The sequence below is a fragment of the Homo sapiens genome, chromosome 2 (assembly GCF_000001405.40).
Source record: "Homo sapiens chromosome 2, GRCh38.p14 Primary Assembly".
In the NCBI taxonomy this organism is placed as follows: Eukaryota; Metazoa; Chordata; class Mammalia; order Primates; family Hominidae; genus Homo; species Homo sapiens.
The window spans coordinates 19860522-19887144 of NC_000002.12; the positions used below are offsets into that span (position 1 = coordinate 19860522).

Below are 26623 nucleotides of genomic sequence, written 5' to 3' on the forward strand. Positions count from 1 at the left end.
GAAGATGGATCGGATTCTGGTGCAGAGAGGAAGGTTGAGAGAAATGGAGGAAGGTGAAACCAACAAGAAGTGTCCGGACACGCTAGCAGGATTTCAGCATACAGAGCTAACAAGATGCGGGGGTGAGATACACATACAAGCTGGAGAGAATGGGGGCATGGGCAAAGGTGGGGGGCCAGAGAGGCTTGGAGTAGAGAGGGAAGAGTGGGAAGTTCAGTCAGATGCAAGCCCTGGAGATGAGCAAGGGAGTTGAGAGGTGCGGACGTGGCCCCTAACATGAGTACATGTCAGGTGTGTTATTTCCCTGCATTGACTGCCCTCCTTCTCCTTCCTCCAGGACAAACCCTCCATCCCCACTGGCCCTGCTCAAACTCCGCCTCCTCCAGGAAGCTTTCCCTGAACTGCTCAACCGGCAATGAACTTCTTCCTCCCTTCTCTAATTTCTATAGCACACCTCAGCCATCAGTTCAGGGCCACCACAAGGTGTGCACAGGCATCTCACAAGTTTGCAGAAATGCCTTCGTAGACTGTGTTCTTCTGGAAGAAAGATCACTTTGTACACATGTACCTCCCTGCAGTGTGGCTTAACCCAGGTCCAGGCACACCAAGACTTCAGGAGGGGCCCACAAACTCAGAGGGAGGCTGGCATGGGAGCAGGACAAACCATCCAGCCCCACACCCACCCCAGCCCCTATCCATGACTCCACCAACCAGGACTCTGCCTGCCTTCCCAGCCCTTGGCACAGGAACCCCAGCTTCTAGCACCTTCTCCAAGGCTCCTGCACCCTGCCTGGAAGGCAGCCCCTCGCCCCCAACCTCCTCCCAGAACTCTTCAGTTCCCCACACCACCAGCCTTCCACAGCTGAAGGCCATAGCTCATTAAAGCCAGACGTGTAGTGCCCCGTGCCACATTTCCTGGGCCTCAGCACTTCCACAGAGCCCCACTGCCAGGAGGCCACATATTCAGCCCCAGGGGCAACCTGTCTGGTCAGGGAGGCTAAAAGCAGCCCTATCACAGCGAATGAGCAAGCCCACTCTTACAAAACCAGAGTGGAGCCATGGGGGCATGGGGAGAAGAGGCAGGGAGTGCTGGGCAGGGCTCCCATCTTGGTCCTTCCTACTGAGGAGGGAAGTGGGAAAGTGGGCTCAGGCTACCACTGTCAGTGGGGATGGTGGGGGTGGCCTCCAAAGAGGACACCTGCCTGTGCAGAAGCCAGAGCCAGTCCTGGGCCCCTGAGTCAGCAGCAGAGACACAGAAAGAAAACATGCTAACTTGTTAACTGAGTGACTTGTAATGGGGACAAACATTCACATTACAAAATAATCTCCATTTGGCAAAAGGGCCTCTTTAGGAATTAACAAACTCCTCTTTGAACATGTAAGTGTCCTAGAAGAGCTAAGTGAGGCTGTTCCCTGGAATCACACTACCCAGGTGTTAGTCACTCACCCCTTAGTGTGAATCAGCTTGATCAGGCTGTTTTCCTGCTGCCTTCTGCTAGAATTCAACTTTCTGAAAAAATAGATCTGTTTGGGAAGTGATGCAGGCTGGGTCATTTTGGAACACAGAGCACAATACGAGTCTTGGAAGCAGTGGGGAGAGAAAGAGGAGTTGTTCAGCCAGAGGGCCAAGTAAGGAGACAAAGGAAAGCTGGGGGTCACAGTGGGAGGCTCAGGAGGGCAGAGTCCAGGGGCGGGAGCAGCCCCCCAGGCGTGGGCACTGGATTTGCTTGCTGGGGCTGCCGCAACAATGCCACACAGACGGAGCAGCTTAAACAGCAGACGTGCACGGCCTCTTGCCTCCTGCCGTGTCCAGTCTCCCCGCTTTCCAAGGACACCTGTCACGTTGGATTAGGGGCCCACCTGACTTCACTATGACTTTGCCTTAACTAACTACATCTTCAACCACTGTATTTCCTTATTTGAAATTCTTTATTTCCTTATTTCATCACATTCTGAGGTACTGGGGTTTAGAACATCAACATGCGAATTTGGGGGTATCATGACTTAGCCTGTGATCAGCACCTTTTCTGGGGTGAAACTGAGGCAGAGGAGACCTCAGCCCCAACCAGCCGAGTAACCCTGAGCAAGCCATTGTCCTGTGTGACCTCAGGTGACTCACCTGTGGCACGGATGGCCCGGGGATGGTGGCTGATGGTCTCTTCCACCTGCCTCCCAGCACATTCAGATGGTCCAGTGAGGACCTCCTGCATCTGCGAGGTGCAAGCCCCCTGGGCAGTGGCTTTTCCACGGCTGTCAGCAACGCTCACGTGACTAGACATCAGAGGCTCTTCCATCCCTGCTCGATAAGGCACGGGGCCTTGTTACCAGCACTCCCAAGCCCCAGGGAGTGAGCTAGGGCACAAAAGTAATAACGGACACCAAGAGGTCTGGAGACTCCTTAAACAGGTGAGCCTCCAAGACTACACAGCCAAGACCTCTACTGTATTAAGTCTGTTTTCACACAGCTATAAAGAACTGCCCGAGACTGGGTAATTTGTAAGTAAAATAGATTTAATTGACTCACAGTTGCCGCATGGCTGGGAGGCCTCAGGAAACTTACAATCATGGTGGAAGGCGAAAGGGAAGCAGGCACACCTCACATGGTCGCAGGTGAGAGGGAGAGAGGGGGGAACTGCCAAACACTTTTAAACCATCAGATCTCGTGAGAACTCACTATCACGAGAACAAACAGCAGGGGGGAACCGCCCCCCTGATCCAATCACTTCCCACCAGGTCCGTCCCCTGACACATAGGGATTACAATTCAACACGAGATTTGGGTGGGGACACAGAGCCAAACCATACCATCCACAGAAAAGCATGCTCTTACACAGTCGGGATACATCCTGCTGTTGTCTGCAAACAGCTTGCGTTTACAGGGAGCAACAGCACCATCTCTGGCTGAGTCAGGCCCATCTGCCTTCAGAACAGAGCCTGGCCAAGGGGCCACCTCCCCGCGCGGGACAGGCCAGCACACAGTAGGCGCTCAAGGAGCCGGGGACAGAGGCGAGGGCGGCCCACTCGTGGAGCGAGGGCGACACCCAGTGGCCATGTGGAAAATGACCTGCTCGAGCCCAAAGGCGGGTGGCAGCAGCGTCTGATCCGCCAGCCTCAGGCCAGGAGGCGGTGGCCGAGTCCGATTTGAGTCCCATGTCCTCTGGACTGCAAGTTGAGACTCCCGGTCCCAGGAGGGACAGCAAGGCCTTCTCCACCTTCACAGGCCATCTGACTACCTGCGCAGCTGTTTAAAGAGCAAACCGCGCATGAGTTAGGCCGCTTGGCCCTCCCATTCAGACCCCTCAGGCCGCCTGTGGACAGCCTGGCTCACCCTCTAAGAGCCTTCCTGCCCGCCCTGGGAACACACACCGCAGGGTCCAGGGACTGGCGTCAGGAGCAGAGCGAACTCAGCGCCACCTGGGCTCCAGGCCAGGCTCTGCTCCAGGACTGGCCCCTCCCCGATTCCCATCCCTGAAGCCAGGGCCACTGGGGTTATAGTGAACCGCTTCTGAGGACACGTGCAGCTAAGGGTGAGCAACTTGTTTTTTGTTTGTTTGTGTTTTGTGTGTGTGTGGTTTTGTTTTGTTTTGTTTTTTGAGATGGAGTCTCACTCTGTCGCCCACACTGGAGTGCAATGGCGCGATCTCGGCTCACTGCAGCCTCTGCCTCCCAGATTCCAGCGATTCTCCTGCCTCAGCCTCCCGAGTAGCTGGGATTACAAGTACCTACCACCACACCAAGCTAATTTTTGTATTTTTAGTAGAGATGGGGTTTCATCATGTTGGCCAGACTGGTCACAAACTCCTGGCCTCAAGTGATCCGCCCGCCTGGGGCCTCCCAAAGTGCTGGGATTACAGGCGTGAGCCACCCCACCCTGGGTAAGCCATTTGTCTTCAAGACCCCAAGCCTTGATATCAGACAGCTGGGTTCAAATCCGATCTCTGCCCCGCCCAGCTCTGCAGCCTCGGGAAATTCTCTATGGGGCCTTTCCTCTCTTGGGTTACCACGGAGATTCGATGATGGCAGGTGCTTAAAGCTCCCCACGTGGTACCTTTCCCGTAACAGGTGCTCAGTGGTCGCGGGCTCTTCTTTAGCTTTGTCTGCATATCAGCACGACAGAAAACAGCTGCACCGTATCTCAGGCAGCCCCAGGTATGTGGAACTAAGTGATCAAAATCAGAGACATCTGCCTCTGCTGTTCTGCAAAGCCTCTGCCCTTCCTCTCACACAGACCTGATCACACCCCCACACCAAAACATACACGTGCAAGCTGCCCAGGGCCCCTTGCTGACTGCCTCAGGGTCAAGTTCACACCGATCCCCCCACCACCAGCACAATTATCCAGCCTGGAACCCCAAGTATCCATCCTAGAAGCTGCTGTCCCCTGTTGCCCTCATCCCCACCCCTCCAGCCGCCTAGAGAAGACTGGGAAAGCCCAGAGAAGAGCAGGGCAGGCCCCTCTACTTGTTCCCTTACTCAGGCAGGTCCAAGGCAGGGCCCTGGAGCCCAGGGACAGAGGACAGGGAGGGTCCTAGGCCCACCCAGCTCAGAAGCTCAGTGGAGAGGAAGGAAGGGCTCAAGAAGCTAGAAGGATGCGGTTGTTACTACCTTCGACAGAACCAACAAACCAAGCTCAGAGCCAATTCTTAGGCAGAGTGTGTCAAGTAAATCTTACTTTCAAGCCCTGGGAAGATGTACCCTCATGCTAGCGGTGGGGGTGGGCATTCCTGTTGTACTAGGGGCTGTGACCCCTCCCAAGACCCAGCCTTACAGTATGGCTGCAGAACTACCCCTCCCACTAAGTGTCCTCATCCTCCCTCAGCCACAGCCTGAGATGAGCCTGCAGGGCCTTTCCACTCAGTGACTTTAGATAAGCAGAAACAGAGGCCTGGAGAGTTTAGGGGAATTGCCCAAAACCACAGAGCGAGTAAGTGGTAGAAGCAGGTGAAATTGTTTAACATTATTTTATTTGACCCAGTATATCTAAAATATTATCATCTTGACACAATATGAAAATGTTAGAGGTACTTTACATTCTTTTATTTATACTAACTCTTAAAAATCTGGTATATATTTAACACTTAACAGCCCATCTCAGTTTGGGTGCTAAATTTTCATTGAAAATACTTGATCTGTATTTAGATTTCATAAACTTTGCAGTGGCAGATTCACATACTTTAAATGTGAATTTGTTGTTCCAAACAAAGTGTTCACATGAAGTGTGAGTTCATTTCACCCACTCCACTGCCGTACTTTAAAATTTTTTAGTAACTGAATTGTTGGCTTTGGGTTTGTTGTTGTTGTTGTTGTTTTTGGAGATAGGGTCTTGCTCTGTCACCCAGGCTGGAGTGCAGTGGTGAGATCATAGCTCACTGCAGCCTTGACTTCCCAGGCTCAAGCAATCCTCCCACCTCAGCTTCCTGAGTAGCTGGGACCACAGGCATGCACCACCATCCCCAGCTTTTTTTTTTTTTTTTTCTATTTTTTTGTAGACATGAGGTCTCACGATGTTGTCCAGGTTGGTCTTGAACTCCTGGGCTCAAGTGATCCTCCCACCTGGGCCTTCCAAAATGCTGAGATTGTAGGCGTGAGCCACTGTGCCCAGCCAGTATTTTTTATTTTAAATGAATTCAAATGAGAAATTCAGTTCCTCAGTAACACTGGTGACACTTCAAGTGTTCAGTAGTTGCATATGCTAGTGTCTATCAGTGGACAAGCTAGCACTAGATCTTTTTGCAGAATCCTTAAATGAGACCATACCCAGCTATACAGCACTTAGAAATCCATGTCTTGGCCGGGCACAGTGGCTCACACCTGTAATTCCAGCACTTTGAGAGGCAGAGGTGGGTGGATCACCTGAGATTAGGAGTTCAAGACCACCCTGGCCAACACAGTGAAACCCCGACTCTACTATAAATACAAAAATCAGCCGGGCATGGTGGTGCCCACCTGTAATCCCAGCTACTCAGGAGGCTGAGGCAGGAGAATCACTGGAACCTGGGAGGCTGAGGCTGCAGTGAGCCAAGATTGCGCCACTGCACTCCAGCCTTGGCAACAGAGTGAGACTGTGTCTCAAAAAAGAAAAGAAATCCCTGTCTTTTCTTGTCCTGTCCAAGTACTCAGTTTCTACAGGCTTCATGTTATAGGGCGGTGTGTCCCAAATCCCTCTAGCTGATTTAGGGGTATGAGTAACAGTTAAAGCATCAAGAGAAGTAGCCACCAAATAGAAATGAAAGTATGGTGCCATTTCTGCTCATGTAGCCACTACCCCTAAAGAGGCAACACTTGTAAAGCATCCATGGAGTAAAACAAGTCTGCACATCTCAACAACTCAAGGGCACTAAGCAAAGACCATGGAGCTGCAGCAACAGGATGCTATTCAGACTGTTAGGAGGCCCACACATAACTCATTTGAGAGCACAAGGTTAATAAGTGGCAGAGCCAGAACTAGAGCCTAGGTCCTTGCACTCACGGTCTGAGCTCATCAGTGTGTGAGCTCACTTCACCCACTCCATTCCTACAGCTACAGAGTTCCCCGTGGAAGTCTCAGTTGCACACCAGAGAGGCATCTGGGGGAAAATGTTCCACCTGGTCTCATGGCCTAGGAGACAAAGAACCCTGGGTTAGGATCTCAACTCTGGACTTAGTAATGACCCTGAATAAGCCTGGGCCCTCATGTCCTTCCCACCTGCAAAATGGAGGCTGTATCCCTGTTCTAGGCCCTCTGCAACAAAGCATCACAAACTTGGTGACTTCAAACGACAGAAATTTATTCTCTCCCAGTTCCGGAGGCCAGAAATCTGACACCAACTTGTGGAAAGGGCCTCCAAAGCCTCGAGGAATCTTTCCTGGCCTCTTCCAGCTTCTGGTGAATGCAGGTGTTCCTTGGCTTGCGGCAGCAGAACTCCAGTCTCTGCTTCTGTCTTCACATCACTGCTGTCCACTCTTCTATCCCAAGTCTCCTTCTGCCTTTCTCTTAAAAGAACACTTACATTGGATTTAGGATCCACCCAGATGATCCAGGATGAACTCTTCTTCTCAGACTCCCAATTACTTCTGCAAAGGCTATGTTTCCAAATAAGGTCACATTCACAGGTTCTAAAGGTTAGGTAATGAACATATCTTTGTGGCAGAATTGGGGTGGAGGGGAGCGGAGGGAGGCTCACGGTTCAACCCATGGTAAGGAGTTTGGACCACGTGAATTCCAGGTCTCACTCAGCTCTGAAAACATACAAAAATGGCAAAGGGCAACTATCTCTACCACATAAAGAATACATCCAAGTGCCTCAGGTCAACATCAACATCCCAAGAAGTAAATGGACAGTTCACACATACAATTAGAAGATGCTCTAATTAGCAAGCAGACACACGTGGGAGTTTTGCCTTTCTAACGTCAGAGAGATGCAAACTAAAAAATTTGTTTAATCTCAGAAAACTAAAACCAAATGCTGGCAAGGATGTGATGGAACTGAGACTTAAACATGGATCTGCCATTTATTCCCTGGGACTGGCTCAGGGTAGGCACTTATTGATTTGACTTGCCGATGGATGGTTAATTGGCAAAACTCTTTGGGGGGAAACTGTGGCAACATATTCCAAGAACCTTGAAAATAAAGATGGCTATTGGCTGAAAATTCCTCATCTGTACTGAGAATTTATCCTAAGGAAATCATCCTTGTGAACAAATATTTGTCTCAGCATTATTTATAACATCTAAATAGTGCAAACAACCTAAGCCTTCAAGAGAATGGGAACAATTCTGCACAGAAGTTCCGCAGCCGTGAAAGTGATGTTAAAACCGGGAGAACAGATAAGGCTAGTTGAATAAATCGGGACCACTGAGGAGGAGGCAGGGGAGGTTTAGGGGTGCCAGCAATACTTCGCTGTGGGTGATCAAGAACATGATGTGATTGCTGTAGAATCACTTCCTTAAACTGTGCATTTGTATTATGTATTTTTTATGCTTAAAACACATTTTAAGAAAAACCGAAGATTTTATTTTTTCTTTTTAACAGCTGAATCCAAGAATCCTAGGACACTCTTAATTTGTCCCAGAAGTGTGAAGTCCACCTAGGGCATAGCCGTGAAGGGCTCCCAGAACTGTACGGGGAATTTTGAGGCTGGGGTACCGCAGTGAAGTGCAGCTCACCCGGGCGGAGCGCACCTGACCTGGCTTCCACACCTGGTGGAGCGCCTGGGAGGCCTCGCGGATAAAGCCCCGGGCAGCGCGTGACCCGCCCCAGCCCAGTAGTGGAGTCCCCGCCGCGGGCCCCTTGCTTGCAGGGTAGGTGTGGCCCGGTCGTCCCACTCTCCGCCCCCTCCTGCTCCTCCTCGCCGTGCCCAACCCGCCCGCTTCTCCTGCCTAGGCTCTTCTTTCTGCTCCTGTCGCCATGGCCCCGGCCTCGGCGCTCAAGCGACCCTCTCGCTCCGCCCAGGTCAGTGAAGGATGGGATGCAAGTGCCCGCCAAGCCCCCCGTTTCCCACGTGGAGTTCCCACAGGGCAGCAGGGAGGGGCCGCGCCTTCTCTAACTGACCCGAACCGACCCGGGCTTCACAGGCTTCGTGGAGAGCAGCTGCCCCGCCGGCATCTTCCGGATGAGGCTCTCTAGACAACAAAGCCTTCTACGCGGAAGTTACTGGTGACAGGGGAAGGACTCATGGGTTTTTGCAGCCCGGTGTCCCCAAAACAACCTCCTGACCCCCAGCCCACCCAGGTTCCCTGCTAGCCCGCCCAACCCAGAAAGACTGGCCTGCCTGGGGTCCAGCAAGGATACAGAATCGCGCAGCTGCCCCCCACAGCCTGCCGCCCAGCATCGGTTCTCCCACCCATCTGCCTGTCCCCACCCGCTATGAGACGCCCTGGGTCTGCTTCCCTGGGACCAGCCCTCAGCGTTGCCTTAAGTGATTCTGGTGCCAGGGACTCTGAGGACCCCCAGGCTCCTCCAGGCTGGCAGGTGACCATACTCCTTCCACTGCAGACCCCTGGATGCCCAGCTGCCGCACCTCCCGTGGCCCCACGCTGTGGCTACGTGTTGTCTGAAGACGCCTGGGGAAACCTTCAGGGCCTCTGTACTGGCCTGTCATGTGGTCAACCAGGTGAGCAAGCTTCTGAGATGCCCTTGTTCAATTGCCCAGGAAACAGGTGTCCAAGATTCATATGGAAGAAATCTGGCCCTGCCCTCAGCACTGAGGACATTTGGGGAATCCAGCATCCCCTCCTGGATGCAGATCGCTTCCGCCTGGCACAGGCTGTCTTCACAGCTGCAGAGTCCTCTTGTGTCTAAGAACAGAGACCACAGTTCCATCTTTGCCTTGCCAGGATTGACCTCTAATGAATAGATCACCTTTGTAAGGTGGACCAAAAAAAAAAAAAAAAAGAGCATTTCCAGGTGGCTGTAACTGACAGCTGGGAACTGCCAGAGTGTGGCAGGAGGCCCAAAGCTGTAGGAGTTTAGAGGAAGCCGCATGCAGGCACCTTGCGCTCAGATGAGGCATGGGGTAGAACTGCAGATGAGAGCAATCAGAAGGAGACTCGTGGGATAGCAGGGTTTAACCTGGCTACGATGTCAGCAAGGTGGACGGGGAGACTGGGGCCCCAGCTATGCCTGGATTTAGGGGTTCAAAGGTATAGGGAGCTAGCAGGAGCACTTCAACAGAACAGAGGTGAGATTAGTGTCAGATCACTAAATCCTAAGTCTCTTCTGTGCATCTCTACCTGCTCTATTTCATCATGCTCCCTTCCCTGCACACCTCCAGCCGTCTGTCTACTAACAAGAGACCCGTACCTCAGTCCCACTGAGCCAGGTGGGACTGGGCCAAACCTCCCTATTTGATTCTTGCCTCATCTTCCCTGGGACTTCGGTGCTTTCTTGCCCTTCTTCCAGGATAATAGATGGTTTTCCCTCAGTGTGAACATCGAGGTGTCTGGGTTCATGGAAGCTGGTGAAGAAACCACCTACAACTATACCATGTCCTGTCCCTATTTCACATGGGCCTCGAGGAAGATTCTCTGAAGGGAACTACATGGAGGTGAGCACAGGTAACCCCAGCCAGAATGCTGGGTCTCCTGGGGCCGAAACTACCTCCTTCGTTCTATGAAGTGAGGCCACACTTGATATTTTCATGGAACCAAGTCCCTTAGTACTTAAGCCTTATCAGCCATGAAATAGACCCTTTTCGGGAAACAAGATTTGATTAAGTTGAAAGGAAATCAGAATGTCAGCGATCTCTGCACTCCTATGGTCATTGCAGCACTATTCACAATGATATAGAATCCACCTAAGTCCCTCTCAGTCCCTCAGTTGGATGAATGGATAAAATGTGAAATAGATTAGATACACACACACACACACACACACACACACAGGAATACCATTCAGCCACTTTTAAAAAATGAAATCCTGTCCCTTGCAGCAACGTGGATGAACCTGGAGGTCATTATGTTAAGTGAAACAAGCCGGGCACGGAAAGACAAATACCACGTGACCCCACTCATTTGTGGAATCTGAAAAAGCTGATCTCAGAAGTAGAGACTATAGAATAGTGGTTCCAGGTAGCTGGGAAGTGTAGGAGAGATAGGTTAAAAGGTACAAAATTCCAGTTAGGAGGAATAAGTTTTAATGTTCTATTGTACAGTAGGGTGACTATGGTTAACAATAGTATATTGTATATTTATCATATTTATAATTTATATTGTATATTTATAAGAGGATTTTGAATGCTCTTACCACAAAGAAATGATAAAGGTTTGAGGTGATGGATACGCATTACCCCGATTGGATCATTACACATTGTAAACATCACACTGTATCCCATAAATATGTACAGTTATTATGAGTCAATTAAAAATACAACTTCAAATCTTGATTTAGGTTGGCAGGTAAGGAACAGAGGCCTAAAGGTAGGTGGGCTGTACACAGTCATCATCCAACCACGTGGCTCATTGCTGTTGCCTTGGGCTCAGAAGTAGCATCAAAGCTGGTGCCCCAACCAGGCCCTCGGCCCTTAGGATATCTCATGAGAACCTAGGTCCCAACAAGAAAGGCCATTCCTATGAATGACGTGACCCTTAGGCTGCATCCCTGCTCCAGGAGATGTAACTGGACCTGTGTGGGTATCTGCTGGGTCAGGTCCTGGGAATCTGCATTTACAGCCATGTGGTGTAGGGATCCCAAAGGAGAGGCTAAGACACTTGTAACTGGAGGAGGGGAGGGGAGTCAGGAGACAGAGCTGCATGAAGAGCTTGCTTGTTGGCAGGTGTCTGTGAGGATCAAATTGCCCATGGTTTCTGAAGCCCAGGACCCTGAGCAATGGATGTCAGCATTGGCTGGATGCACTCCCCATGGTAGGACTGAGGACTGACCAAGCAATCCCTGGCCAGCCCACATGGACCTGCCTACCACTCTCCCATACAGTGTGCAGGTAGCCTGCAAGCAACATCACAGCCTTCAAATTCCCTGCAGCCTATTGAGATCCTAGAGACAGGAGCCCCACCTGTCTCATCTTGCCTACCTGGGGAGGTACCCCTGTCTTTGCCAGTCTTGCCTCCAACTGGGAGCCTCTTCTGCCGGTCCTCTCTGCTGAGCCCTGCTCACACCGAGCCAGGTGGTGGAGGGACAGTGAGGGTTGCTGAGTGAAGCTATGTAACTTGTACAGCCTGCACAACTCCAAGCAGTAGCCCTGTGTCTAGTATTTTTTGGGGGGAGATTCTGGTCAGCCTTGATTTTTGGGCCTTTTTAGTGTTCTATCTTGCCAACTTAGTAAAAGATCTGGTTGTCTTGCATTTGAGAGGAGATGAGAGAAGCAAGTACCTCTTTTTTGTAAGAACAAGTAAGTGAACAAGTGCCTCTTTCCTGCCTTGCATTCAACTCCTTAGATCTCCTTGATTGCACGGTCAACCCCGCTCCTGTCTGTCAGGCTCAGGAACCACTTACAAGCTATGGCAGGTGATGTTCCAGCATCCCACAGGGAGGATTATGCTGGTGAGCCACATGGCCAAGCAGGACTATGGCTTCAACAGCTCTGGGGCCTGCATGTTCCTGCATTAGCCCTACTCCAGCAATGAGGCTGAAGTTACCAGGTGAGTTTCATCTACCCCACTCTAATCCTTGGGAGAGCGAGAGTGGGGACAGATCAGGAGGATGCTCTTTAACTGACATCTGTGAGCTCTGAGCACAGAGTACTATTAGGTTGATGCAAAAGTAATCTCAGCTTGGTCAAATAGCTTAAGTCTGCTTTTATCTTTATGAGCAATTCTAATCAAAACTGGTCATGTTCCAGGGAGCAAATAGATTAATGTGGGAGCAAATAGATGAATGTTTTCAGGATTTAGGCATCTGGTCTTACTTATAGGAAGTTTATTTCATCTCAAACAACTCCTGTATCATCTTCTCTAGGTTTTAATATAACTCAATACCTGCCTCTCTCTAAAGAGTGCCCCTGGGTAGGACTGAGGTGTGATCTCATGGGGTGGTATAACATCACAGCTGTAACTCCAGCTAGAAGTTTGTCTCAATCCCGATTGGCTGGCCAGCTATGGTTTTCTAGGGAAGGCAGTTGGCAAAGTGCCTCATCCACAGCACACCTCTCATCTGCTGCCTCTTTGTTTCTCATAGAGTGACATCATGGTATCTGGTGCAAGCTATAGCATCCACCTATTCTTGGAGCACACGTGGTCAGACACTGATTGGCATGTGACCAAGTTGATGGTGGTCAAAACAGAACTCCTTTCATGCCCACAAGCTTCAGTATTACTATGTTCCCTGCCACTTCCGTTGAAGTTTTGCAGGATTGGGATGATCCTTTGGTGTGAACGAAGCCCCAAAGAGGACCACGTGGAGAGTGCCTGGTAGGTCTTAGTGTGTACAGCAGGAATACTGACTTGGCATAAGGGCTCAAGTTTTAGCAAGTACAGCCCATCCCATCTGGGCCAGCTTCTACCTTTAGGCCTCAATATGCCCATAGACTGATTCAGTTTGAGTTCTGATCACTTGTAGCCTGTAACTAAGGGCTAGGTAAGTGCATTCAGAGTTCTGTCAAAAGTGTGATCTTGATATTTAGAAGTAAAAGCTTCAGAACATCAACTTTCTAGCCTATCATCCAATTAATGCTTAAAAACATGATATAGACCTTCCTTTAGAACTATCATTCAGGCCAGGCACAGTGGCTCATGCCTATAATCCCAACACTTTGGGAGGCTGAGGCAGGCAGTTCACCTGAGGTCAGGAGTTCGAGACCAGCCTGGCCAGCATGGTGAAACCCCATCTCTATTAAAAATACAGAAATTAGCTGGGTGTGGTGGTACACGCCTGTAATCCCAGCTACTCAGGAGGCTGAGGCAGGAGAATCACTTGAACCCGGGAGGCAGAGCTTGCAGTGAGCCAAGATCATGCCACTGCACTCCAGCCTGGGCAACAGAGCAAGACTCCGTCTCCAAGAAAAAAAGAAAAAAAAAAACTATTATTCAGACTCTAATGTGATTGAATAACTTTCGGTCCTGAGGAGAGACAACAGTAGTAAGGATTCTTTTGACCTCCATGAGCCTATAATCTACACAAAGAAGATTGTGGTTAGCCCTCACATGCGAGCTTATTTTTTTGTGTTCAGCCGCTACTTAAGCCAACATACAAAGGGACAAAGCTGGATAAATTGCACTCTTACCTGGGATGGTGAGGCTAGTATGTTAGTGGTTATTTGCATAAGGAATGGCTGGCAATTTTTGACTGATGCTGCTGGGTTGCCCTCGGGTTTATGAATGGGCTTATGTTCTCAAAATGGCCCTCGCTGATCACATCCTTCCTGTGGTTCCTCACTCGGCCTTGTTCCTGAGTTACTGGCTAAAGAAGGATTGACTCTAAGAGACAAGAGCATCTTTGGGGGGAAAGGGGAGAAGATTATCAAAGGACACAGACACCCCTAGTCCTTTCTAGTCCCCTCACAGGAAAGAGAAAACAGGATGCTCTTAGCTCTGAGGACTTAATTAAGGGAGACTGGGAGAGTCTGTTGCCGGTAAACCACAGGCTGTAATAGATGAGAACTTCCAACAGACACGGTCCCTGGGACAAGACTCTTCAACATCACCTTTGGAGCTGTCTTCCCTGGTGACCAGTTGGTGGCAATGGGGATCAGAACTGTGCCCTATCCTATTTCAGAAGTGGATGAACCTGGGTATAAGGTTTGGGAAATTTCCCTCCCAGATGGAACACAAAGGTTTGTGCTTGAAGTGTCCTTGATGACACAGAAGTGATTAAAGAGGTCAGCCAGTGCTCATGTCCAGGTAAGAAGCTGTCAGTTTGGACAGATCCTCTGCCCAGCAGATAGCTTACCAGATAGTGTTACCTGCTGGGCAGGTAACATACTTCATAGGCAGAGCTCTCACCCACCCCACCCTCACAGGTCATTAAATTACATGAGCACGTCTTGTCTAATCTAGCTTGGCAGGCTGGAGCAGTTTGAAACACTGTAATGGAGAGACCAGTAGCCACTCGAGTACGTGACAGAGTGGACATCCTCATTGGATTGAGGTCTCAAGCCCCCCATCAGGTGGTGGGCACACAAGGACAGGGCCTACTCTGCTATGCTGTCCAGCCTGAGCAGATGCTGTAAGGGGGCAGGAGGCTGTCCTAGGGTCACTACCCAGAAGTGGCTTCGTAAATTCAGGCAGCCTTTTGCTCAGCATGGCTCTAAGCTATGGTCAACCTGAAATAATTGAAAGGATCAGAATCCAGTTTTAAAGAGTTTATTCAAGCAAAAAGCTGGGAATGACCATACAGGAAACAGACTTCAGAGAAATGGAATAAGTGCTCCGAAGTTAAAAGTTAAGGTCTTGCTTATATAGGCAGAAAATAAAGAAATTCAGTAGGATTTTATCATTTTCTATACAAGGCTGTTTTATGAGTTACAATTTAGTTTGTTTTCTTTTCCATAAAGTTTGTTTTCTTTACAGCTTGTTTTCATTTCCTTTCCAATTTAAGAGTAGTTAACATTCCATCTTAGACAATCCCATAGCCATGAAGACTTTGTGTGGAAGAGGAAAGAGGGAAGTTAATCTATACTGAATATCAACAGTTAAGAGGGAAGGGGTCTTCCCTGGCACCCTTTAGTCATTTACAACATTTTACAAAACATGTAGGTAAGAAAAATGACCAATCTGTAATCAGAAACAAAGGTTACAGCTGCATGTTTATGTGACTCAGGTCCTATAATCACATTCCCTTAAGGCTCAAAATGTTTTGAGGTTCTAACAGCTTAGATTTTGAATTACTTTACTCTATCCATCACTTGCAGACTGTTCCTGTGATGTCTTCTAGTACATGAACAGGAATGAAACCCACTATGTCCTCCATGTGAACTACATGCTGAGCGTGGGTCCAGATGGGAAACCATTCTCCTACCCTGCAGAAATGGTATATAGTTTCAAGGATGTGGGTAAGTACACCAAGTGAGGTGCTGGTCCTGGACTCATGGATGGTCTTGGTACCCAACAAGTTACACTGGCTCTGTCCAAACAACAGCTGTGGAAGCCCCTCCCATGGGAGGGGGGTCCCACTGGGGCTACACAGAAGTAACTCCTCACAAGTGGCTTGTCTGCATCCTGGGATTGGAAACCCAGTATAGAAGCAGCTGTTGGCAGACTCATGAAGTAATACAGAGAATGGGTGGCTGCTCATACAATCAGCAGTAAGACTTCACTTAAATCATGCCAGGAATGACATGAACAGGACTCAACGTACCCCATACAGTCTTCCCTCCCAGGTGCCACCACCCCTGAAATATTAACCTTGGTAGACTTCTCCTGTCAAGGTCACAGTAAGGGTAGCCAGTGGTATCAAGACCTTGGTATAAATCAGACATGGCCTTCTTCCCAGCAAGGTCATTAGGTACCCAATGTAGAGATAGCAGGGAAAGGATATAAAAACAGGAAAGTTCCAGGTGAGTCATCTTTTGCCCCTTGACTAGGCCTGCCTATAGGTTTGACAGCTCCAGGAAGTAAGAAAACAGGTATATTGTCTTCCTTCCTATAGCTCTGCTAGGTGTCATCCTCTTAAGGTCACTAGGATTCTAGTGTTGAAGGCTTGCTGCCACACAGATGGCACTGTTCTATCCTCAAAGCATTTTCAGGGTGCCATCTAATGGGTCTGAATCCTGGTTCCATTGCAAACTTTAAGCAAGGAACTCAGCATTATCCAATCCCCATTTTCTCCAACTACTGGCCCCCTCTAAGGAGGCTGAAGAGTGAAAGCATGTTGAACACCAAGATGCTCTCCAAAGATGGAGTCCTTCTCTTCTGAGCCCCACAGCTCTGCAAGATGGGTAAAACTCAAGGTGGCATTAGGCTCTGAGAGGAGCTCCATCACACAGCTGGCATAGTATGGAGCTGGACCAGAGCCCAAATCCCCTATCTCCCCACTGTCCTAACCAAAAGCTTACACTTCAGAACCCAAGGCCGTGAACACAGACCTCACACAGCTGTAACCTGAGAAACTGCCATTGCTGATCTAGTGCCAGAACCACTTCCCCATCCCTGGCTTTCCTGCTGACTTCCCACGAGATAAGACTTTTCTTTAAAAAGGGGGCCTTCTCAGCCACACGCAGTGGATCACACTGTAATCTCAGCACTTTGGGAGGCCGAGGCGGGTGGATCACTTGAGGCCAGGAGTTCGAGATCAGCCTGGCCAACATGGTGAAACCCCATCTCTACTAAAAATACCAAAAAAAAAAAAAAAAAAAAAAAAAAAAGCAGGGCATGGTGGCATGTACCTGTAATCACAGCTACCCAGGAGGCACAAGAATTGCTTGAACCCAAGATGCAGAGGTTGCAGTGAGCCTGTTTGTACCCCTGCACTCCAGCCTGGGTGACACAGTGAAACCCTGTCTCAAAAAAAAAAAAAGGAGCCTTTGGCCAGGCACAGTGGCTCACACCTGTAATCCCAGCACTTTGGGAGGCTGAGGCGGGTGGATCACCTGAGGTCAGGAGTTTGAAACCAGCCTGGCCAATATGGTGAAACCCTGTCTCTACTAAAAATACAAAAATTAGACAGGCTTGGTGGCATGCGTCTGAAGTCCCAGCTATTCAGGAGGCTGAGGCGGGAGAGCCTCTTGAACCCTGGAGGTGGAGGTTGCAGTGAGCCGAGATCACGCAATTGCACTCCAGCCTGGGCAATAAGAGTGAAACTGTCTCAAAAAAAAAAAAGAAAAGAAAAGCCTTCTTGGGCTGACCAAGGTGGATCATGCCTATAGTCCCAGCACTTTGGGAGGCCTGGGTGGAAGGATTGCTTGAGTTCAGAGGTTCAAGACCAGCCTGGGCAACATAATGGGACCCCGTCTCTACAAAAAATTTAAAAATTACCATGGCATGCTGATACATGCCTGTAGTCCCATCTACTCGTGAGGCTGAGGCGGGAGGATCACTTGAGCCCAGTAGATGGAGGCTGCAGGTAGCCATGATTGTGCCACTGCACTCCAGCCTGGGCAAGAGTGAGACGCTGAATCAAAAATAAAAGGCATCTCACTTAAGGGCCTTCACACTAGGGCTCCAGTGGAAAAGTAAAAGGGCCAAAGGGGAGTGATGAGAAATGGATGCTTGGGAGAGAATAGGCCTCCAACAAGATTCTTCAGTCTTGGTATGCCAAGGCTGGACAATAAGGAGAATCGGACCCCAACCTGAGTCCCATTTACCCATTGTGTACTTTTCACAGAAATTCCCTAGGCCATTGGCACCTGTGACAGTGAGAACCTATACTTGGCCATCCCAGTAACTGACCCGCTCTCCTGTTGGGAGCTCTACATGGGACACTGGCACCTGAGCCGTAGGCCAGGACCCCTTGACATAGTCCTCATGACAGATAACTCCACCCATCTGCTATTGGCAGTGCAACTCTTTTCTCCAGGGGCGCTGTATGAGGGGGTCCCCCGAGGGCTTAAGCTGGTTGACGGGCTAAGGAGGGTGGAGAGAAGTTGTGCAGCCACTGTCCTGGGCCATCAGTCACAGCGGTGTGTCACTTCAGACACAAGGAAGTGCCTGGATGGTCTTGGTGCCCAACAAGTTGCATTGGCTCTGTCCAAACAGCGGCTGTGGAAGCCCCTCCCAGGCCAGGGATGCGGGCTTGAGCAATCCCTGTCCAGTGTTCTCGGGGAGCAGAATGTATGGTATCTAATACAGTCTACAACAGCATTTGTGAGGAATGGCCTGTGTTTGGGTGCATGTCATGCCATTAAAATCCCTAGAACTAGAAAGAAGTGGCTTCCAGATCCCAGGCCCCCTGGGCGACTCTCAGCATCCTGGGCCCCACAGGCCTCAGCTGCCAGATCTGCCCCAATGGCCAGGACTGCGTGGCATCTGTTTCTGATGAAACTGAACCCAGCTGTGGGGTGGGTCCCAGGATCTCTCCCTCCAGAGGATTTGCGCCCAGCTTGAGGTGGCCCCAAAGAAAACTGACATGCTAGAGACTCCAGAAACCTTCTCCATGGATTTACCCCATTGGGAGAGAAAAGGCCTCCAACAAGACTCTTCAGTCTTGCTATGTCAAGGCTGGACAATAAGGAGAATCGGACCCCAACCTGAGTCCCATTTACCCATCCTGTACTTTTCACAGGACTTCCCCAGGCCATTGGCACCTGTGACAGTGAGAACCTATACTTGGCCACCCCAGTAACTGACCTGCTCTCCTGTTGGAGCTCTACATGGGACACCAGCTCCCATGCATTTATCCCTTTTCAGACCTCACTGGTGAGAAGCTGGGCTTCTGGGTCCCCATGCTGCTTCATCCCACCTCCCAACCCTGTCTTCAGGCCCACTGCTGATCCCAGTCTAGAACCACAGCACCGCCCCCATCCTGCATGAAGAAGGCCTTGTGCATCTGCCTTGGTGAGATCTTTCCAGGCTGACTGGTCTGTACTCCCTGGGGAGATGATCGAGACCAGCTCACACTGCTGTGTGTCACATCCATACCTTCTATGGGAAAACTAACCCCCCTCGCCTCCTATGTGAAGTCTCAGGCTTCACAGCCCATTTCAAATGCTGTTTCTCCTATAACCACATAGCCTGCCAACCACTGGATCTCCTTTCTGGTTCCTCCCTCTCCCCCCAACTTTTTCCTTTTGAACTCTCATAATCAGAGCCATAACCATTTTCTGCCTTGCACTAGTTACTTGTCCTTGACTGTCTTTATTTTCCCTTCTGAGCTGACTTTCTTGAAGGCAGGGCCCCCAACCTGATCACCATGCCTCAGATAGTATCCAGGTTTTGCCTTCAGCCCCTCAAATAATACATATAAAAATGAACAAATTCCAATATTTATCCACAACCTACTTGATGGCCTAAAAATGCATTTTAAATGGGTGTGTCTGAGGTAACTTGTGAAAAGCCCTGGGGTCAGGAGCCAAGTCCTACCTCAAGGAGCAGCATAAAGGCTTAGCCCAGCCTCGTCCAAGGACTGCCAGGTAAAATAGAGAACAGACTTTGATCAAAATATGGTTGGAAACAGGATGGTTGTGAGAACTATGGTTGTGTTCCTAGTGTGTTTCCCTAGTGGGACTGTGGCCATCTCTTCCATGATGGCCACAGACCCTTCCATTGACATGTGCAAGGCCACACTGAAGGATTGCACCTGCAAGCCAACAGAGTCTAGCAGCAACCAAACCTTCTTCTGACTTGACGTCACCAGCCGTGGTACCTCAGTGAGGGTGAGTAAGGCAAAAGGGCCACCTGCTCCTGCCAGGCCTTAGCATACCATCTAAGCTTTTTCTTCTCAGTCCTGTGGTATTGTTCCATTTTCACACTGCTGATAAAGACATACCTGAGACTGGGCAATTTACAAAAGAAAAAGGGTTAATGGACTGACAGTTCCACATGGCTGGGGAGGCCTCATGATCATGTCAGAAGGTGAAAGGCATGTCTCACATGGCAGCAGATGAGAAGAGAAGACTTGTGCAGGGAAACTCCCCTTTAAAAAACCATCAGATCTCATGAGACTTATTCACTATCACAAGAAAAGCACAGGAAAGACCTGCCCCCATGATTCAATTACCTCCCACTGGGTTCCTTCTACAACATGTGGGAATTGTGAGAGCTACAATTCAAGATGACATTTGGGTGGAGACACAGCCAAACCGTATCACCCATGTTCTCCATATGCTCTAAAATCTTGGGTTATGTAGTTTGAAGGTGACTATATTATATATGAAAAGGGAATCATGTATGAGAAGGAACCCTTGCTATGAAGGGCTGGCCCACAATTACAAGATATCCAGACTACAGGTGAGATGGCCACTGTATGAATGGAAGTCAGCTGTGCCCCTGAGCTTCATCTCACTGTTGTCCCCACCCCTGTCCTCAGGAAATTCCAGCTGACTAGGGAAGAGAATGCCAGTGTATAGTTTGCAGCAGGAGGAACTCAAAACATCAGTGACAGTGCCCCAAAATGCTTCAGTTTCCATGTTCTCTTTTTCATTTTTTAGGTCCTATTTTACTTCCTTACCTAATACTTATTATATTGGAGGTATGATGTAAATTGGAGTAATACTGACAGACCTTCTTCTTTGATAGACTAAGCAGTGTTGCTAGAAACAAATCATTGCATAACTAAATCATGATCCACCATGCACATAGCCCACCAACCAATGGAGAAGACCAGCAGAACAGATAGTAGGCTATCTCTTCCAGCCTCAAGCCCCAATGCTGTCATTCCTAAGTTGAGACGTTGAAGTCTCTTTGCCTCCCTGGTACAGAGTCTGTTTGCCTTGTCTTGTCCATGAACCAGAGTTCCTTCAAGTCCTTTCTTGCTCTGCAGTTCTACAAACCAGTGAGCCTGCTCTTGCCTCCATGCTTGTCCTAGGCTGATGCTGCTCTGCTACTACTCAGTTAAAGAAACATTGGCCCAAGAGGACAGGCACAAGGACAGGTGGAAGAAGAAAGCTGTCCTGCCACCAGGAGATGGCATGGTGGTATGGCAGTCCCAGGTCCGAGGTCAAGGAGTGGCTGGGGAACAGAGGGAGAACTTTGAGTATTTCTGCCTGGGTGCCCTCAGCTTGACATTCTCTCATTCAGCAGGGCCTCAGAGAGAGCAGACAGACACTGGAGATCCAGGCAAGAGTAGCTCAAGGTAAGGGTGTTCTGGAGTATACTTTGGGGGACAAAGGGCAGAAGAAGAAAGTTGTCCATGAGTTCACCAAGCCCTTCCTCTCTTAAGATGAGTCGTTCATTGAGTTTCACCATGGGGAGATGGCCATTGTGAATCAGCCATAGTCAACACTCTTTGAGGTAGAACTGATGAGCTTTGCAGATGCCTCAGCAGAATTACTCCTGGACAAGTGTTGGGTGTCAGAGTCACCAGAATTTGATGGCAGCCCCCAGTGGAACATAATAAATAGGTACATATCCTCAGCTAGCAGCTGAGAGGGCAGAACCAGAACCCCAGTCCTACCAGATATAGCCCAAGATTCTGTAAGAATATCTTACATGCTAAAGCAAGATCCCCAAAGTGAGGACCTGATATGGTTAGGCTGTGTCCCCACCCAAAATCTCATCTTGAATTATCCCCACAATCCCCACTTGTCAAGGGCAGGACCAAGGGTGGAGGTATGGGGGCAGTTTCCCCGGAGCTGTTCTCATGATAGTGACTCTCACGAGATCTGATGGTTTTATAAGTGTCTGACATGTCCCCTGCTTGCACTCACTCCATCCTGCCACCCTGTGAAGGAGGTGCCTGCTTCTCCTTTGCCTTCTGCCATGATTGTAAGTTCCCTGAGGCCTCCACAGCCATGCAGAACTGTGAGTCCATTAAACTTCTTTCCTTTATAAATTACCCAGTCTCGGGTATTTCTTTATAGCAGTGTGAGAAGGGACTAATACAGGACCAAATCTCCCAATAGATCTGAGTCTACCAAATGAGACTTCCATCACTTCTGTGCAGCTTCTCAGTTAGGAACTTCCCCTGACTTCTAACAGCCTCAAGCCCCCGCCCCAGTCCTACTCATACTTCCTCATGTATAAGAAAGGGTCAGCCAGTCCTCACCAGTCCTCAGATAACTACTGGAATGGACACAAGGTTTCTCCAGAGTGCCTCACTCCTTGTTTGTCTCCAAATTCTTCCTGACAGCTGCAAAAAAGAGAATAACCTGCTAGAGGTAGACTTTTACCCTGTCTCCCAGGGTGAGAAGGTCCAATACCCCTCATTGGTCAAGAAGCTGGTGAAGTTTGTGGCACCCAGATTCAAAGAGGTGAGATCTCAGAGAACCAGAAAGGGCTAAATAGGAACCTAGATTCCTGTTTATATGGCCAGTATGGGGACACTGAGCAAAGTCCCTGGGAGCCCCAGGTCCCAAGTACTTCCTAGGCTTTTATAAAGAGATCTGGATGACATGTCCTGCTTGGTGACTTGGCATCAACGTTTAGAAGTCAAGTCTGACAGATGGCAACTGGTAACCAGATTAAGCATGGAGGGTGGGGACAGGGCAGCCTAGCATGAGTGGGACCCTAGCTGATCCTCTGCTTAGACAGTTGTTGACTCTGTGACCTAAACAGGTCATGTCTCCTTTTTGAACCTTACCACCTTCTGCAAAATGGAGCATTAACGTTAAAGTCACTGAAGACTTTAGAAGTATTGATAAAGCATTCAATAAGTAGACTTCCTAAGAGGAAACGAAACTGACTCATTCCTGATCAACACCCTCAGAATAATCCCATTTCATGCCTAGATGCAGGAGGAAGCTCATTATCTTCCCCATCCCATTCTCACACTTTAACTCCTCCTCTCCTCCTCTTGTCTCCTTGAAGAAAGCCTGCCCTCTTACTAAAGCCAGTTGGGAAGAGGTCCCATAAGGCTTTTGTCTTAGGAAAAAGTGTGGGTGGGAAGGAATTGTTGTTGGGTCACTCTTGGTTTCCCAAGGCCCTGAGACAGGAACTTCTGTTCCTGCTAGAACAGAATGGCCTCTGCCCACACCGAGCTCGAGATGCTGTGGAAGCTTCCAGATCCTTGGCTCCTTAAGGTTTGTCCTGCTGTAATGCTCAGTCTTCTGCTATTCACCCACTTCCATTCTCAGGTGTATCTGTACCACCTGACCCAATCCTGCCTACACTTGGACCCTGACGGGCATTGTGGTGGCCAGTACTATCCAGAGGAGAGAGAAGGAGGTAAGAGCAGGCCCCTAGCCACGTGTCCAGTAGCAACACTGAGAAGTTCTGCCCCAAAGGTCCTGCCCATAAAGTTCTCTGCACTTTCCCCCTCCATCCCTCCAAACAAACTCACCCTTCTGAAAGCTGCCTCAAGTCCTGACCAGATGGCACCCTCCTGCAGAAGTCCCTGAACAGCAAGCACTCTGCATGTCATGCCTACATCTCAGCCTGAGGAACTCTTGAAGAGGCCTTTCCTCCAGAGCTGAGTGAGCTCTAAGAGCTCTTTGGCCAAAAACCCCTGGCTCTTGCCCATCACACTTGCCTAGTGTCTGGCTACGATAATTTTCAGGCATTTTATGAAACATTTAACAAGTCTGATTACCCTTCTAGGAGACAGTCCTAGAATAGAGGTCATATGAACATAGATCTTAGTCCTCCTGCCTCAGTGAGTCCCTCACCCCATACACACCTTGAACTCAGGCCAGAAGAGAGCACTTGACCATCTGGCTCTGGTTCCAGTGACTCCAGGACTTATATGCCCACAAGCCAAAAGAAGATCAAGATCTGAGTGGGAACTGTGGAAAGCATGTCATGCGAGCCCCTGCCGCCCTTGAAACTCTGCGTTCCTCCTCCTCAAAGAACAGTGCCTGAAGGTCCTGGCTGTGGCCCTGGCTGGCCATCTTGCTTCCTGGTCACGGTGGTGGCCACTGTGCTGGTCCTGTCCAAGATGACCTGTACATCATTCCATGAATGACACGTGACAACAGCTTCCCAGTGTAATAAGCACATTTAACCCAGCACTTGTCAGCCCCACTGTTCTGTTGGAAGTGTTCTATCTCACTGATCTTGCCTCTCCTAAAGCAAGGGACAACTCCTGGCACTCCGCTGCAGAGGCCCTTGAAGCCTGTTGGAATTTTAGTGAAATGAGATGCCTGGCTTAAGCCATGTTGCCTGGCTTCTCAAGTACCAGCGGACATATTACTAGCAAGGAAGAAGGCTAGCAGCAAGAATGGTTATTGCATCCTAGAGGCATTTAGTGGAGGAGAAAACTGCCCTGGTACCGCCATAGCCCTAAGTGCTGCCCAGAGTTCTGAGCTCTCGATGAGCACTTGGAACACGTCTGCCTGCAGCCTCCCTACACTTTTTTATGACTTGTCCTACTTGTCAAGCCCAGCTTGTCCCACTTCTCCACATGAGTCTTCCAGTGACATCTTTGTGACCATCTCCACCCCCTGGGTAAATGCTCCACGCTGGGAGTCCACAAAACACAGTCTGACTTAGAGATTCTCTGGCATGACTCTCTTCCCCACTGTGTACACTGACTGCCTTAGATGTAGGCCTCTTGTTTGGGGCCCTTCCTGGCCAGACCCTGAAGCAGCCTCTGAGGAGGGTGGTAAGAATGGTTCCCTAGAGCCCAGTTACAGAGTCTGCCTCCTTTCCAGATCATGCTGTAATGGACTGAGATCTCAACTCAGCCCACACTCTTTCCTGGCCTACATAGCCGTCTCAGAAGGGCAATGTTTCTCGCTGTTAAAGCGGGTGGTCCCTCTTGCTAACCTAGCTGAGCATCAGGTACTGGTTAGCTGTAAGGGCTGGGAAGTGGGGGGTGTACCCATTGGCCTTGGTGATGAAGACAGCCAGGTATCCAAGTCCCAGCCGGGACTCCTGCTGGGCCATAAAGGCTTCAATATGCTGGCTTCTCCCCATTGAGGACCTCAGGCCCCAGTTCATTATCAGGATTTTAGAAATACCAAGAACATCAAAAGAACAGAAAAGAGGCCCTTAAGGGACTCCTAATAAGATAGAATTTGCATGTCCTCATTGGACTAGAACCTGAACTGCTTTAAAAAGCAAAAGGCCCTTGGTACAATCTGATGGATGTGACTGTACAGAGAAGAGGAAACACCTCTGAGGGGAGTGAGAGGCCTTGGTAAGGAAGTTGCAATCTGGAGCCACCTGGGCAGGTCAGAGCTCTATAAGCAGGAGAAGCCAAGGGCATAACACACAGTAGTGCAGGTGTCAGCCAGGAATCAAGGCTATGACAGCTGGAGTCCCGGGCCAAGAACTACAGGGGGAAGGAGGAGAAATGCTTGTTCCCCCAACTCCTATCTCCTGCCATGGGGGTGGACTTCTACTAGCTATGACATTCCTACCATCTCTCTGCCTCTTCCCTCTCTCTTTTCTCTCTGCCCCACCCTGGGACACGGTGACTTCCCTGATGCTAGGGGGAGGGGATGGTGTGGGTTAAAAAAAAAAAAACAAGCTGCATAGCTCAGCCCCTTCCTCTCTCCCCTCACTCTCCTGGGGGTGCCTGCTTTCAGAGTCTGTGCAGCTCTTGTCTCCTTCTTACCATAACCCTACCTGGGCGGCAGCAGCCGCCGCCCACACCCTCCCCTACCCCCATGGCACTGCCTGCCACATCCAGGACCATTTCCGAATTCTGAGGCTCTGTTGTCGGAGTGTCCCCTCTAAGCTGCATCCTGCAACCCAGTCCTATTCCCAGAGAAGCCCAACATCCCCTCTGGATCTGCCTGTCTGCATTACCGTTTGGTTCAAAACCCAGTGCTGGTTACTGGGCCTCTCAGGACACCAGGGAGGCTGGGCTGGGGAGGACTGGTGGGCGAGCTGTCCCCTCCACATTCTGCCAATGCCTGGGACGTGAAACTCATTCCTGTTTCCATGAGACTCGTATCCTTAATGTCCCTTTTGACTTCAGCTAATTCTGAGTAAGTTTTTGACCCTCGCACCTAAATTTGGCCCAAGGCAGAAACAGCGGGGATTGGCTTCTCTGACGGCTGAGTCACTTGTCTTCCTGTCTTCTCCCTCATATTCCACTTCTTGTGGGCGTGAATTAAAGTAGAACCAGGCAGGCGACACTCTCCTGTTGGTGACCAGCGTTCCACAGTAAAATGGGGTGTGACAGCAGCTGGCAGAGCAGCAGCCTGCCCGGGGCTGTGGGCCACATCCCCCCTCCACCCCAACCAAGCAGCCTGCCCTGCCCTGGTGCCAGGCGCCAATCGGCTGAGCAAAATAGGCTGAACTCAGGCCCTGCGAGGCCAGGACGGCGCCTATCAAGAACTCCTGTTCCCTCCAGGGCAAGAAGAGGGAGGAGCGAGGCTTGCCCTGAGCGGAGGGGCTTCAAAACTGAGCCCTGGGCAAAATGGGGCAAGTTGGTCACCCTAGAGGGAGCTTAGGTTTAAGGAAAAGAATCTGGGACCTTCTAGCTTTGACTCCAGTCTAACATAACTCTCTGATTGTCCCTTTAGTAAAATAGAAATAATGTCAGTCTTGAAAGAATGTCATGAGGCTTTCATGAGGACACATGGAAATGGCAGACATTTGTCTTGCTGGAAGGTTCTCCCGTTTCCCCGCCCCTATTCCAGGTAGGTTGCTGTCCTCAGTACCTGAGGTTTTATGTGGAATCACCATTCTCCTTCCCATGATTGTAAGTCAGATTATAAGCAGCATTTGAGTAGATGGAAATGTGATTAGGTCTATGTCCCTCATCCCAACA

General features: G+C 49.8%; 1 long non-coding RNA gene across 1 annotated transcript, besides 3 other annotated features; it reads left to right on the forward strand.

The window, feature by feature from the left end:
* Window positions 1696-2196: an enhancer, noted in NCBI's record as "H3K4me1 hESC enhancer chr2:20061978-20062478 (GRCh37/hg19 assembly coordinates)". NCBI's record gives its function as "activates a minimal SCP1, AML or CMV promoter by ChIP-STARR-seq in naive H9 embryonic stem cells {active_cell/tissue: H9 hESC(naive)}" and the evidence as "EXISTENCE:reporter gene assay evidence [ECO:0000049][PMID:30033119]".
* Window positions 2990-3490: an enhancer, noted in NCBI's record as "H3K4me1 hESC enhancer chr2:20063272-20063772 (GRCh37/hg19 assembly coordinates)". NCBI's record gives its function as "activates a minimal SCP1, AML or CMV promoter by ChIP-STARR-seq in primed H9 embryonic stem cells {active_cell/tissue: H9 hESC(primed)}" and the evidence as "EXISTENCE:reporter gene assay evidence [ECO:0000049][PMID:30033119]".
* Window positions 8045-8094: an enhancer, noted in NCBI's record as "active region_15365". NCBI's record gives its function as "activates an Ori minimal core promoter by ATAC-STARR-seq in GM12878 lymphoblastoid cells {active_cell/tissue: GM12878}" and the evidence as "EXISTENCE:reporter gene assay evidence [ECO:0000049][PMID:35858748]".
* LINC00954 (long intergenic non-protein coding RNA 954) lies at window positions 8333-24526 on the forward strand. The gene is made up of 10 exons (NR_033875.1): window positions 8333-8431; window positions 8975-9092; window positions 9881-10025; window positions 11872-12075; window positions 12611-12843; window positions 15282-15422; window positions 18715-19679; window positions 22094-22214; window positions 23037-23127; window positions 23629-24526. It is a non-coding gene; the product is annotated as a long intergenic non-protein coding RNA 954 (long non-coding RNA).
* Window positions 24527-26623: the final 2097 nt, after the last annotated feature.